This window comes from Homo sapiens, chromosome 17 (assembly GCF_000001405.40).
Source record: "Homo sapiens chromosome 17, GRCh38.p14 Primary Assembly".
NCBI classification, from domain to species: Eukaryota; Metazoa; Chordata; class Mammalia; order Primates; family Hominidae; genus Homo; species Homo sapiens.
In genome coordinates this window covers 49,312,926-49,326,614 of record NC_000017.11, presented here as the reverse complement: position 1 = coordinate 49,326,614, position 13,689 = coordinate 49,312,926, and the positions used below count along the sequence as shown (strand labels likewise).

Here is a 13,689-nt window from a genome sequence, read left to right as displayed (position 1 = left end):
GATTTTGCCCCTGAGGAGTAGTTCACATGTCGGTTTTTTCTTTGGTCCCTAGGTTCATCTTCATGGACCACCTTTTTCTTTTTTGTTTCTATTACCTTTCTTGGCCATGTCCAAAATATACAATGGGGGATATACCCCCTTAGGAGGATGAATACCTTTCCTAGCCTACTTTCTGTCATTGACACTTGAGAACCCAAAGATCACTTTGGTCTTGAACAGTGACAGTCTCTCTTAGCCCAAGCTGGTTGTTCTTTTGGCAGTATAACTTTCAAAACTGAGTTGGCTTTTTGCTTGTCTCCTGTCAGCTCCAGGTTCTCTAGCCACATCCACAGTTCTTTTCTTACCATACTTCTTTTTTTTTTTTTTTTTTTTTAGAGATGGGGTCTTGCTATGTTGCCCAGGCTGGTCTCCTGGGCTCAAGCAATTCTCCCACCTTGGCCTCCCACAGTACTGAGATTACAGGCATGAGCCACTGTACCTGGCCCATACTTATGTTTGCTACATAGCTCTGCTTTATTGGTCCCATACTTCTTCCTTGACTTAATTTTGAGTACAGATGTTTCTGCTATACTGCCATATATGCTTTTCCGAAAAGCCCCCATTCTGCAAAATCGTGCACTAAAGTAAACAGGACTTATGGGAAAAATAGAGTTGAGGCAAACCACTCTAAATCTGTGGAACACCATAGTCTTTGCACTAATAAAAACAAAAATAAATGTTTCAACTCTGCTAGAATTTGTCTAGCAGGTTTTCTGGTCTTTGTGGAAAAACCCCCAAAAGTAAAAAAATTAAAGAAAATAAAATTAACCATAATAAAAACAGTAGCATGCAGTGGCACAGTCTTGGCTCACTACAGCCTCCGCCTCCTGGTTCAAGCAATTGTCGTGCCTCAACCTTCCAAGTAGCTGGGACCACGGGCATGCAGCACCATGCCTGGGTAATTTGTATTTTTTTTTTTTTGTAGAGACGAGATCTCACCATGTTGCCCAGGCTGAAGGCCTACCTTGTTTTATTGCACTTTGCTAACAAATTGAAGGTTTGTTGTAACCATCCATGGAGCAAGTCTACCAGTATCATTTTTCCAGCATGTGCTCACTTTGTGTCTCTGTGTCACATTTTGGTAATTCTCCCAATATTTCAAACACTGATATCTGTTAACAGTGATCTGTGATAAATGATCTTTGATGTTACTGTTATAATTGTTTTGGGGTGCTAGAAACCATACTCATATAAGATGGCAAACTTAATTGATAAATGTTATATGCGTTCATACTGTTCCACAGACCAGCTGTTACACCATCTCTCTCCCTCTCCTCAAGCCTTCCTATTCCCTGAGATACAACAATATTGAAATTAGGCCAATTAATAACTCTACAGTGGCCTCTCAGTGGTCAAGTGAAGGGAAGAGTCACCCCTCTCTAATTTTAAATCAAAAGCTAGAAATCATTAAGCTTAGTGAGCAAGGCCTGTCAAAAGCCAAGACAGGCCAAAACGTAGGCCTCTTGTGCCAGACTATCAAGTCGTGAATGCAAAGGAAAAGTTTTTGAAGGAAATTTAAAAGTGCTACCCCAGTGGGCCGGGTGCAGTGGCTCACACCTGTAATCCCAGCACTTTGGGAGGCCAAGGTGGGCGGACCACCTGAGGTCAGGAGTTCGAGACCAGCCTGGCCAACATGGTAAAACCTAGTCTCTATTAAAAATACAAAAATTAGCCGGGCGTGGTGGTGCATGTCTGTAATCCCAGCTACTCGGTAGGCTGAGGCAGGAGAAATGCTTGAACCCAGGAGGTGGAGGTTGCAGTGAGCTGAGGTCGCACCACTGCACTCCAGCTTGGGTGACAAGAGTGAAACTCCATCTCAAAAAAAAAAAAAAAAAAAAAAAGTGCTACCCCAGTGAACACATGAATGATAAGAAAGTGAAACAGCTGGCTGGGTGTGGTGGCTCATGCCTGTAATCCCAGCACTTTGGGAGTCCAAAGTGGGCAGATCACCTGAGGTCAGGAGTTCGAGACCAGCCTGGCCAACATAGTGAAACATCATCTGTACTAAAAATACACAATTAGCAAGATGTGATGGTACACACCTGTAATCCCAGCTACTTGGGAGGCTGAGGCAGGAGAATCGCTTGAACCCAGGAGGTGGAGGTTGCAGTGAGCTGAGATCACGCCACTGCACTCCAGCCTGGGTGACAGGTGAGACTCCGTCTCAAAAAAAAAATAAAATAAAAAAGGCGAAACAGCCTTATTGCTGAGATGGAGAAGGTTTAGTGGTCTGGATGGAAGATCAAGCCAAACACAACATTCCTTTAGGCCAAAGCTAGAACAAGGTCCTAACTCTGTTCACTTCTTTGAAGGCCGAGAAGTGAGGAAGCTACAGAAGAAAAGTTGGAAGCCAGCAGAGAGGTTGGTTCATGAGGTTTAAGGAAAGAAGCTATCTCCATAACGTAAAAGTGCACGGTGAAGCAGCAAGTGCTGATGTAGAAGCTCCAGCAAGTTATCCAGATCTAGCTAAGATCATTTTCTGGTGTAGACAAAATGCCTTATATCGAAAGAAGATGCCATCTAGGACTGTCATTGACAGAAGTGAATGCCTGGCTTCAAAAGATAGGCTGACTCTCTTGCTAGGGGCTAATGTAGCTGGTGACTCGAAGGTGAAGCCACCTTGTTCACTTACTATTCCAAAAATCCAGAGGCCCTTAAGAGTGATGCTAAATCTACTCAGCCTATGTGCTAGAAATGAAACAACAAAGCCTGAATAACAGCACATCTGTTTATAGCGTGGTTTACTGAATATTTTAAGCCCACTGTTATAACCTACTGCTCAGAAAAAAAGATTCCTTTCAAAATGTTACTGCTCATTGACAGTGCACCTAGTTACCCAAGAGCTCTGATGGAGATGTACAAGGGGATGAATGTTGTTTTCATGCATGATAATTTAACATTCATTCTGTGGCCCATGGATCAATGAGTAATTTTTACCTCCTAGTCTTATTATTTAAGAAATTGATTTTGTACTATAGCTGCCATAGATAGTGATTCCTCTGATGGGTCTGGGCAAAGTAATTTGAAAATCTTCTAGAAAGGATTCACCACTCTAGATGCCATTAAGAACATTTGTGATTCATAGGAAGAGGTCAAAATATCAACATAAACAGGAGTTTAGAGGAGTTGATTCCAAGCCTCATGGATGACTTTGAGGGTTTCAACACTTCAGTGGAGGAAGTCACTGCAGATGTGGTGGAAATAGCAACAGAACTAGAATTAGAAGTGGAGCCTGAAGGTGACTGAGTTGCTGCCATCTCTTGATAAAACCCAAACAGATGGAATCTACTTCTTGAGATGGAATCTACTCCTGGTGGAGATGTTGTGAACATTATTGGAATGACAAAGGATTTAGAATATTCATTCCATAAACTTAGTTGATAAAGCAGTGGCTGGGTTTGAGAGGATTGACTCCAATTTTGAAAGAAGTTCTACTGTGGGTAAAGTGTTATCAAACAGCATCACATCCTACAGAGAAATCTTTTATGAAAGGAAGAATAAGTTAATGCAGCAAATTTCATTGTTGTCTTATTTTAAGAAATTGCCACAGCCACCCCAGCCTTCAGCAACCACCACCCTGATCATGCAGAAGCCATCAACATTGAAGCAAGACCCCCCATCGGCAAAATGATTGATTCACTGAAGGATCAGATAATCGCTAACATTTTTAACATTTATTTATTTATTTATTGAGACGGAGTCTTGCTCTGTCACCCAGGCTGGAGTGCAGTGGCACGATCTTGGCTCACTGCCAACTCCGCCTCCCAGGTTCACGCCATTCTCCTGCCTCAGCCTCCCGAGTAGCTCGGACTACAGGTGCCTGCCTCCACACCCAGCTAATTTTTTGTATTTTTAGTAGAGACGGGGTTTCACCATGTTAGCCAGGATGGTCTTGATCTCCTGACCTCGTGATCTGCCTGCCTCAGCCTCCCAAAGTGCTGGGATTTTAAGATATAAAGTTATTGCATACTTAATAGACTATAGTGTAATGTAAACATAACTTATATGCACAATGAAACCAAAAAATTTGTGTGACTTGCTTTATTGAGGTATTTGCTTTATTGCAGTGGTCTGGAGCCGAACCGGCAATATCTCTGAGGTGTGACTGTTCTCTCAGCTTCATCAAATATAAAGTGGAAAGAGTTTTGTTCATGAAGCCACTGAATGAACCATTGCTTGCCTTAAAGGAAGGTATAGAAGTAGAGTGTTTAGCTTTTTTCTTGAGGTCTTCGTGTATTGCTAAGGCTTGCTTTCTTTGTAATTTTGAGAAAGCTTGCTCCTGATCACTTCAGACATTAAACTTGGGAAAATCTTGTATAAACTAACATTATTTCTGAGTTATTCTGCTATCATTTCCCTATTTACTAATAGCATTTGAATTAATTCACATTAGAGAAATATGCATTGTAGCAGAACTCATCTTTAGTCTCTTTAGAAAAGCTATTTTATTGAGTACCATCTTAATCAGTGATTGTGAAAGCCAAATATTTGATTTGAACCTTGCCTCAAGACTGAATTATATTCAGGCTTTGTAAATCAAAGACTTCAGTTTTACATTAAGCACTTGCCTGTTCTTACTCTGCAAATCCCTGACTTTCTGGATTTCTTTTATTCTTGATTATAAACTGATCATTATTTTCTGAATTCATCCTTTTCATGTAATAATTTGTTAAATATAACTAACAGTGTTACAATACAACACACTTGTAATAGTCCATTTTCCCACTAGAGCTGCTAGCTCTTATGGTATAATATCTACCTTCTGCGATAGCTGATAGTTTCACTGATCATTTGATCACTGCATAATATAAGTTGCTAATCTTTTAGCCTCCAATAACTTTCCTTGCCTCCTTCCACCCAGCTCCTAAGGCTTCATCATATATTTTAGGCTTTTTGGTAAGGCAGCACCCCACTTCTGGTTTCTACTCGTAGCAGCTTGGATAAGCCAAATTATGCTGTGGTAATAAACAATGCAAGGTCTCAGTGGCTTTGAAAACACACTGTGTGGCTGGGCACGGTGGCTCACGCCTGTAATTCCAGCACTTTGGGAGGTCAAGGCGGGTGGATCACCTGTGGTCAGGAGACCAGCCTGACCAACATGGTGAAACCCTGCCTCTCCTAAAAATACAAAAAAAAAAAAAAAAAAAAAAAAAGCGTGGTGGTGGGCGCCGGTAGTCCCAGCCATTCAGGAGTCTGAGACAGGAGAATCACTTGAACCCGGGAGGCAGAGGTTGCAGTGAGCCAAGATCATGCCACAGCACTCCAGCCTGGGTGACAGAGTGAGATTCTGTCTCAAAACAAAACAAAACAAAAAACACCAAGAAAATACATATGTCTATCCAGTAGGTCATCTTAGGGGACCAAGCTGAGAGCAACCATCACCTGGAAGATTGCTAGCCACTGTGCCAGAAGGAAAAGAGGTCTTAAGGATTTTATATTGGTTAGTAAATGCCCTGCCTCTCTCTGTCACTTCTCATAATATGCTGACCAGAAGTAGTCACAGGGCCCCATCTAACTACAGGGAATAGAAGTTGTGGGCGTGGTTTTAAAAGTGTAGCCTAGGCTGGGTGCAGTGGCTCACGCCTGTAATCCCAGCACTTTGGGAGGCTGAGGCAGGAGAATTGCTTGAACCCAAGAGGCGTGGTTGCAGTGAGACGAGATCGCACCACTGCACTCCAGTGTGGGTGACAGCGAGACTCCGTCTCCAAAAAAAAATAGCCTACCATGTGCCCAGAAAGCCGAGAGCCAGAAATATTTGGAAAATGAATTAATGATTACTCTTTATTCTTTTCTTTGACTTTCTGATTTTTGTTTAACTCCTAGCTTTTGCTAGTTAATTGAATTTTACCATCATTCCTCCCTTACTTAATTTGAGATAATATGAGTTTATTTAAATGATACTCATAGTAGTTCACATTGTTTCCATGGGTTAGAAGTTTTGGCACAAGTAGAATAAGGTTGCTAGGATTTTCCTACTTAAAATATGAGGCATGAAACTGGTACAAAAAGATAAGCAGTTAAAAGAATAATTGAGTTTAAATTATTTCAAGGTGTCATTTGTCATAGTAGAAATAGACAATGAGCTTTGGAGTCAGGCAGGCCTGGAGTCAAATACTACCTCTGTCGTTTGAGCGACTTGTGATCTTAGACAAATTATGTTGCCTCTCTGAGCCGTAATTTTACCATTTATAAATACAAGAAAGTAGGAATATATCTATTCAAATGTCAAGTAAAACATGGTAGCATTTATTACCACTCCTTCCTGAAATTCCATGAAAGCAAAAGTAATTTTTTTGAAAAAGAATAAACTCACAAGGAAAAAGGAAATGGAAGAGAAAATGGAAGAGAAGACAAAGGATTAGCATAGGAGTGATAGAAATAATTGTGAACTACTCATAGTAATAATAAATACTGATTTTTTTCAAAGTTGTGATATAACTATTGGGAGCATGAGGGAAGAGTTGGGAACAATAAGGTAAGAAAACTATAGAGAAAGACAAGGTAATATCTGAAATTGAAATAAAAAGTCCAGAAACAGAAACATAATCAAATTATGTAGAAATATAGAATTAAATGGAGAGGGGGGCAGCTAAAACAGCATTATTGCCTCCAGGAAATGGGACTGAGATAAATTGGAGTACGGCCAATACATTTGAATTGTAAGACTATGAATTTTTAAAATGATTATTTTGATAAAAAATTTAAAAATCAGTCCCACCAGCCTGGGTAACATAGGGAGACCCCATCTCTAAAAATTTTTTTGAAAATTAGCCAGGTGTGGTGGTGCATGCCTCTGGTCCTAGCTGTTCAGGAGGCTGAGGTGGGAGGATCACTTGAGACCAGAAGGTTGAGGCTGCAGTGAGCCATGATTGCACCACTGCATTCCAGCCTAGGCAATGGAGTGAGACCCTGTCTTTTTTTTTTTTTTTTTTTTTTTTTTGAGACAGAGTCTAGCTAGCTCTGTCGCCAGGCTGGAGTGCAGTGGCGCGATCTCAGCTCATTACAATCTCCGCCTCCTGGGTTCAAGCGATTCTCCTGCCTCCGTCTCCTGAGTAGCTGGAATTACAGGCATGAGCCGCTATGCTCAGCTAATTTTTGTATTTTCAGTAGAGATGGGGTTTCACCACGTTGGCCAGGATGGTCTCGATCTCCTGACCTCGTGATCCGACTACGTTGGCCTCCCAAAGTGCTGGGATTACAGGCGTGAGCCACTGCGCCTGGCCCGACACTGTCTTAAAAAAAAAAAAATTCAACCCCACAGTTTTGTGGTGGGTATTAAACATAAATAATGAACAATAAAAACTATTATAGTGCCTATGTCCATAGCAGGCATTTAATAAATACTCATTTCCTTCCTTTTGTCAACTAGACAGGGTATGTGTTTACGGTAATATTCATATGACTCAAGAGGATAGGTGGGTTGGCTAAACAGCAATGTGAGGTATGTCACAAAGCAAATTATATGCCCTTCTAAGCTTTTTAAAAATTAATATTGGATGGTTTTATTTTTCTTGGAACCATATCAACCTCATGGTTATGGTTTCTTAGAATTTAGACTCCTGTGCAACTGACATATAAAAAATCACCGACTTACTGAGTGAATGTAGTGAGCTATGCACAGAACAAATGTTAAAATATTTGGCAACTTTGAAATTACTCCAATAAACCTGAAAACAATTATATTTAAACCTAGATTATAAATGATTTAAGGCCAAGGACATTTTTCTTCTCTTCTATAGTTATGTCAATTAGCTGTTTTATTTCCGGGGACCACAATGCCTGCCCCACTACCCCCTTTGTTCTGCGAGCTCTCACTGTGATGGACATGGTGATTGATGTTGAAAGAAAGTCAGCCAATATAAAGCTCTTGCGTGTTTCATGCCCAACACGTTGTAAACTAGACTGTAAAGATCTTGTGGATAGAGACCGTATATTTTGCCATATCAGCATATTGCGTAGTATCTAGGAAAATGAATGCTGTGCAATATTATTTTATTCATCAAATATATACTGTATGCTAGACACTGTGCTAAGCTCTGAGGATATCTCAGTGAACTGGACAGATGTGGCTTTTGCTGTTGTAAAATTTATAGTCTAACAGAAAATGTTTATGAATTCCTGTAATCCAGTAAAATAATGGCTCATACTGAAACATTTAAGCAGTTAAAAGCATTGTATATGTAAAGAGTTTAATAATTTTGGCCAGGCGTGGTGGCTCATGCTTGTAATCCCAGCACTTTGGGAGCCCCAGACAGGTGGATCACAAGGTCAATAGTTCAAGACCAGCCTGGCCAAGATGGCAAAACCCCGTCTCTACTAAAAATACAAAAATTAGCCAGGTGTGGTGGCGGGCGCCTGTAATCCCAGCTACTCGGGAGGCTTAGGCAGGGGAATCACTTGAACCCAGGCAGCAGAGGTTGCAGTGAGCCAAGATTGCGTACTGCACTCCAGCCTGGGTGACAGAGTGAGACTCCATCTCAAAATAATAATAATTATTATTATTTAAGCCCTGTTTCTTGTGATTTAAATGCATGCTCTAAAAAGGAAATAGTGGTATTACCTGATTTTTTTCCTCTTTGCTTTTCTTTGTAGATAAGATGCTCCCAAGTCCCTTGCAGCTCTCTTCAGAAGAAAAATCACTAGTGCTCTGCTCTTGCCATAATACCAAACCTTTTTGACTCATGCTTTGGTGCTGCAACACTGGAAGAATTGCACACAGTTTCCAGGAATATCTTTTTTTCATTTGAGTGATTCTTTGTGGATGAGAAAAGATTTGAGTCTTAATAATTACCTTGTTTTAAAGCTATTTCTTTATAGTCTGAACTGTTTAATAAATTGGGCCACTTACCAATGAGCCACACAGCCAGTTCTTGTCAGGAGCTGGTTGAAAACTGTGCTGTGCATGTAGCAGGAATGGCACAAGAAGATAGCCGTCGTGGTCAAGTGCCATCTTCCTTTTATCATGGTGCCAACCAAGAACTTGACCTGTCCACCAAAGTGTACAAAAGGGAATCAGGAAGTCCTTATTCTGTGTTAGTGGACACCAAGATGAGCAAACCGCATCTCCATGAAACAGAAGAACAGCCATATTTCAGGGAGACAAGAGCAGTGTCTGACGTGCATGCTGTTAAGGAAGACCGGGAGAATTCTGATGACACAGAGGAGGAAGAGGAAGAAGTCTCTTACAAAAGGGAGCAGATCATAGTGGAGGTAAACCTTAATAATCAAACATTAAATGTATCTAAAGGGGAAAAGGGTGTCTCTTCTCAGTCCAAAGAGACTCCTGTTCTTAAGACAAGCAGTGAGGAGGAAGAGGAAGAGAGTGAGGAAGAGGCCACAGATGACAGCAATGACTATGGAGAGAATGAAAAGCAGAAGAAAAAGGAGAAGATAGTAGAGAAAGTCAGCGTTACACAAAGGAGAACCAGGAGAGCTGCCTCTGTTGCCGCAGCTACCACTTCCCCTACTCCCAGAACTACAAGAGGTCGTAGGAAGAGTGTAGAGCCACCTAAGCGTAAGAAGCGGGCCACAAAGGAGCCCAAAGCACCAGTCCAGAAAGCTAAGTGTGAAGAGAAAGAGACTCTGACCTGTGAGAAGTGCCCCAGGGTATTTAACACTCGCTGGTACCTGGAGAAGCACATGAACGTTACTCATAGGCGCATGCAGATTTGTGATAAATGTGGCAAGAAGTTTGTCCTGGAAAGTGAGCTGTCCCTTCACCAGCAAACAGACTGTGAAAAAAACATTCAGGTAGGTTTCATCACCGAGAGGGAAAACTTTTCAGGATAGAACCTGGCTGTTCAGATTCATCTGGTATCCGCCCAAGAGAATAAATGCAATAGAGGCTGAAGGGACAGTTTTCACCAATTTATCATTTGAAAAGCTCCTGCTTTGGTCTTTTCTAAACCAAGGCTTTTATTTCAAAAGCATTAAATTTGACGCTGGACTAGTGGGAACCCAGGCACACTGGAAGGGGGATCTGTTATAGTTGATTGACCAGGAGGTTAAAATCAACACCAACTTTGCACTGAGATTCACTGTTGTAGGACGTGTAATAGAATTCATTCTGGCATCTTCTCTGTGGAGGTAGGAGTTACTGATTAAAGGTTAGGAGTAGAGAAAGGTCCCTTTCTGGGTTTACAAGGATGCCAGATTCTAGTACAGCTGATGGGGACAAAAACCATAATGACTCAGACCGGTGGAAATGGAAGATCTTCAGCAGTGAGTTTGCTTTTACCATTGGAGAGATGACAACACTAAATTTGCCAAGAGGCTGAGCCCATGGGAATATGCAAACTTTAAGCAGAGGCTGAGCTGGTCGAAAATGTTGCCCACCTGGCAGTAGGGTTACATAATGCCACTGTACAGTATTGTTAAGGTAACAAAATAACGGTATTCAAACCAGGCTGTTGTCGTGAAAGGACTATATTGTGATAGGTTAAAGAGGTATGCTAATTATATTATGTCAAGTGGATTGCAGTTATATTGGTTTGCACGTGTGAATGCATATTAATGAATATTCGTAAGAGGTAAGTCTATTCATGTCTCCATAAGATATGTAACAGAAATATTTTGTACCATATTTAAGCTAAACTTATAAAGGATAAATTGTGTTGGTTTGGTTTGTTTTTTGGTGTGCTTCTAATATTGGTAGTCACTTTTTAAGTTTCACTTTTCTTCTGTTGCTTTTAATCAACATCTGAGATCATTGCTCTACTTTAAAGAGTTTTAAAAAATGGAAATTGCATTTGCTAAAAATTCACCGCTTTTGATTCACCAATTGTGACTTGATCTCCAACACGCTGGGTAAATAAAAGAAGACTGAGTCATGGAGCCCATATCCTCCGGTAACTGCCAGTGCCCTGGCTTGGGTATGAATTGTTTGCAGCACTTCAGGCCAAAGGGAGTGTGGTGCACTGCTGCACTCTAGGGGTCAAACTTGGATTCTGTAATGATCCATTACTGAAAGCGTTCTTGATCTTTATATATAGGTTTTGTGGGTTTTTTTTTTTTTTTAACTTAAGTCTGTTTAAGTTACAGAAAACATTTAATAAATACTTTTTGTGTGTGACTTTCCTCACGATTCTTCATCATACTACTTTTAAATTTGTGTTTAAGTTTTGTGGATTCTGCTAAATGAACTTTATTCACATTCATAAAGAACACTGTACTTTGTTCTTATGTATAGCTCCTAATAATCCTGATGACTTGGTAACAAGTAAAAACTAAAACCCAGACCGGGCGCAGTGGCTCACACCTGTAATCCTAGCACTTTGGGAGGCCAAGGCAGGTGGATCACGTGAGGTCAGGAGTTCGAGACCAGCCTGACGAACATGGAGAAACCCCATCTCTATTAAAAATACAAAATTAGCCAGGTGTGGTGGCACATGCCTGTAATCCCAGCTACTCAGGAGGCTGAGGCAGGAGAATCGCTTGAACCTGGGAGGCGGAGGTTGCAGTGAGCCGAGATTGTGCCATTGCACTCCAGCCTGGGCAAGAAGAGTGAAGCTCCGTCTCAAAAAAAAAAAAAAAACAAACTAAAACCCTCCCCTAAGGCCGGGTGCAGTGGCTCACACCTGTAATCTCAGCACTTTGGGAGGGTTGCCTGAGCCCAGGAGATTGATCCTGCAGTAAGCCATGATAGCACCACTGCATTCCAGCTTGAGCAACAGAGTGAGACTGTCTAAAAACAAAACAAAAAACCTGCCCTACAAAATGGCTGATAGTAGTAGTCTGTCCTTTTCTAGAGCATTTTCCAACCAGAGGTTTATCTTTTAACTCTTCTCAGAGTTCTTGTTACCTGAAGTGACAATGATGTTTAGAGATCTTTATTTATAGTGAATATTAACATGTTCCCTTAAGTATCCAAGGGTCTAATGATTACCAAGAGCTTTCTAGTATTGTTTTGCTTTAACCAGAAATACTCTGATACACATTATGCCTAATATTCCAGGCTATTAATGATTCATGATACAAGGAACTAGGCAGTGTGGTGTGTTTTCTACAGATTCTTACAAGAGAGCTCTGGAACTGATCTGTAAGGGAAAAGGTATAGGCTTTAGTTAATTAAAGTTTAGACTAAAAAAATTTTCTTTAATTTTTTAAAGAAACAGTAAGGCTGGGTGCAGTAGCTCACACCTGTAATCCCAGCACTTTGGGAGGCTGAGGCGGGCAGATCACAAGGTCAGGAGTTCAAGACCAGCCTGGCCAACATAGTGAAACCTCATCTCTGCTAAAAATACAAAAATTAGCCAGGCATGGTGGCACGCACCTGTAGTCCCAGCTACTTGGGAGGCTGAGGCAGGAGAATTGCTTGAACCCAGGCGGTGGAGGTTGTGGTGAGCCGAGATCACACCACTGCACTCCAGCCTGGGCGACAGAGTGAGACTCCATCTCAAAAAAAATAATAATGATTTTAAAAAGGAGAGAGAGTAATACTAAGAGTTCAGAGGGTATATTCTGCCCGAGGGACGTGTTTGAAAGTATAAATTAGATTTGAGGAAATATAACATTTCAATTATTCGTATTAATAAATGCTCCAAATGCATTTTCTTTTCTTTTCTTTTTTTTTTTTTTTTTTTTTTTTTTTTTTTTTTTTTTTTGAGATGGAGTTTCGCTCTTTGTTGCCCAGGCTGGAGTGCAATGGCACGATCTCGGCTCACTGCAACCTCCACCTCCCGGTTCAAGAGATTCTCCTGCCTCAGCCTCCTGAGTAGCTGGGATTACAGGCATGCGCCACCACGCCCGGCTAATTTTTTTATTTTTAGTAGAGATGGGGTTTCTCCATGTTGGTCAGGCTGGTCTCGAACTCCTGACCTCAGGTGATCCTCCTGTCTTGGCCTCCCGAAATGCTGGGATTATAGGCGTGAGCCACTGCACCTGGCTCCAAATGCATTTTCTAAGGCATAAAAACATTTTTATATTTCTACATACCTATAATACCTATACCACTAATATGTATTTTGTTTAATCTTGTTTTTATTACACTAATTTAAAATTAGTTTATATTCTCTGGTAAAACCTTACTAACTGATGTGGAGGAGGCAGCCACACTTGCTTAATACATATATTTTTAAAACTCGAATGTCTTGCAACTTCTGTTTAAAAATTAAAAAACTTGGCTGGGCTTGGTGACTCATGCCTGTAATCGCAGTACTTTGGGAGGCTGAGGCGGGTGGATCACGAGGCCAGAAGATCGAGATCACCCTGGCCAACACGGTGAAACCCTGTCTCTACTAAAAATACAAAAAAAATTAGCCGGGAATGGTGACGCCCACCTGTAATCCCAGCTACTTGGGAGGCTGAGGCAGGAGAATCGCTTGAACCCGGGAGGTGGAGGTTGCAGTGAGCCTAGATCGCGCCACTGCACTCCGGCCTGGGCGACAGAGCAAGGCTCTGTCTCAAATAAATAAACAAACTTGAAGTTTCTTTTCATAGGTACAATACTAACTTCATAATAGCAGTGAATTCTTTGATGTTAGTGGAACTTTCCACTTTTTGTCTTAGTTTTTGCCATTGTTTTCATACTCCCAAAGAGTGTCTAAAAGATGCATCTTAGAAAAGAGAACATACAGATGTTGGTGTTGGAATCTGGGCTCTGTGGAAGAATAGCACTTATCTGGATTCTGGCCTTGTGCCATGAACCTAAAG

At 41.2% G+C, this 13,689-nt stretch overlaps 1 protein-coding gene and 1 non-coding gene across 12 annotated transcripts in view, besides 1 other annotated feature; both read left to right on the top strand.

Moving 5' to 3' along the window:
* Positions 1-13,689, top strand: part of ZNF652 (zinc finger protein 652) — a 74,357-nt gene that overhangs the window by 35,859 nt on the left and 24,809 nt on the right. For 3 of the 11 annotated variants that reach the window (NM_014897.2, NM_001145365.3, XM_047435626.1), the window contains one exon: positions 8,632-9,789. In NM_014897.2, the coding sequence (NP_055712.1) occupies positions 8,890-9,789 (900 nt within the window). In that variant the 5' untranslated portion in view covers positions 8,632-8,889. Of the gene's footprint in view, positions 1-4,106; positions 4,231-5,269; positions 5,480-8,631; positions 9,790-13,689 lie in introns of those variants that run through there. The other 8 variants (NR_135579.2, XM_024450656.2, XR_934423.3 and 5 more) reach the window with 5 other exon arrangements.
* Positions 714-775, top strand: LOC124904111 (U7 small nuclear RNA). Its single transcript, XR_007065985.1, has one exon. It is a non-coding gene; the product is annotated as a U7 small nuclear RNA (small nuclear RNA).
* Positions 1,841-2,041: a silencer, noted in NCBI's record as "peak2884 fragment used in MPRA reporter construct". NCBI's record gives its function as "represses an SCP1 promoter by STARR-seq MPRAs in K562 erythroleukemia cells {active_cell/tissue: K562}" and the evidence as "EXISTENCE:reporter gene assay evidence [ECO:0000049][PMID:32103011]".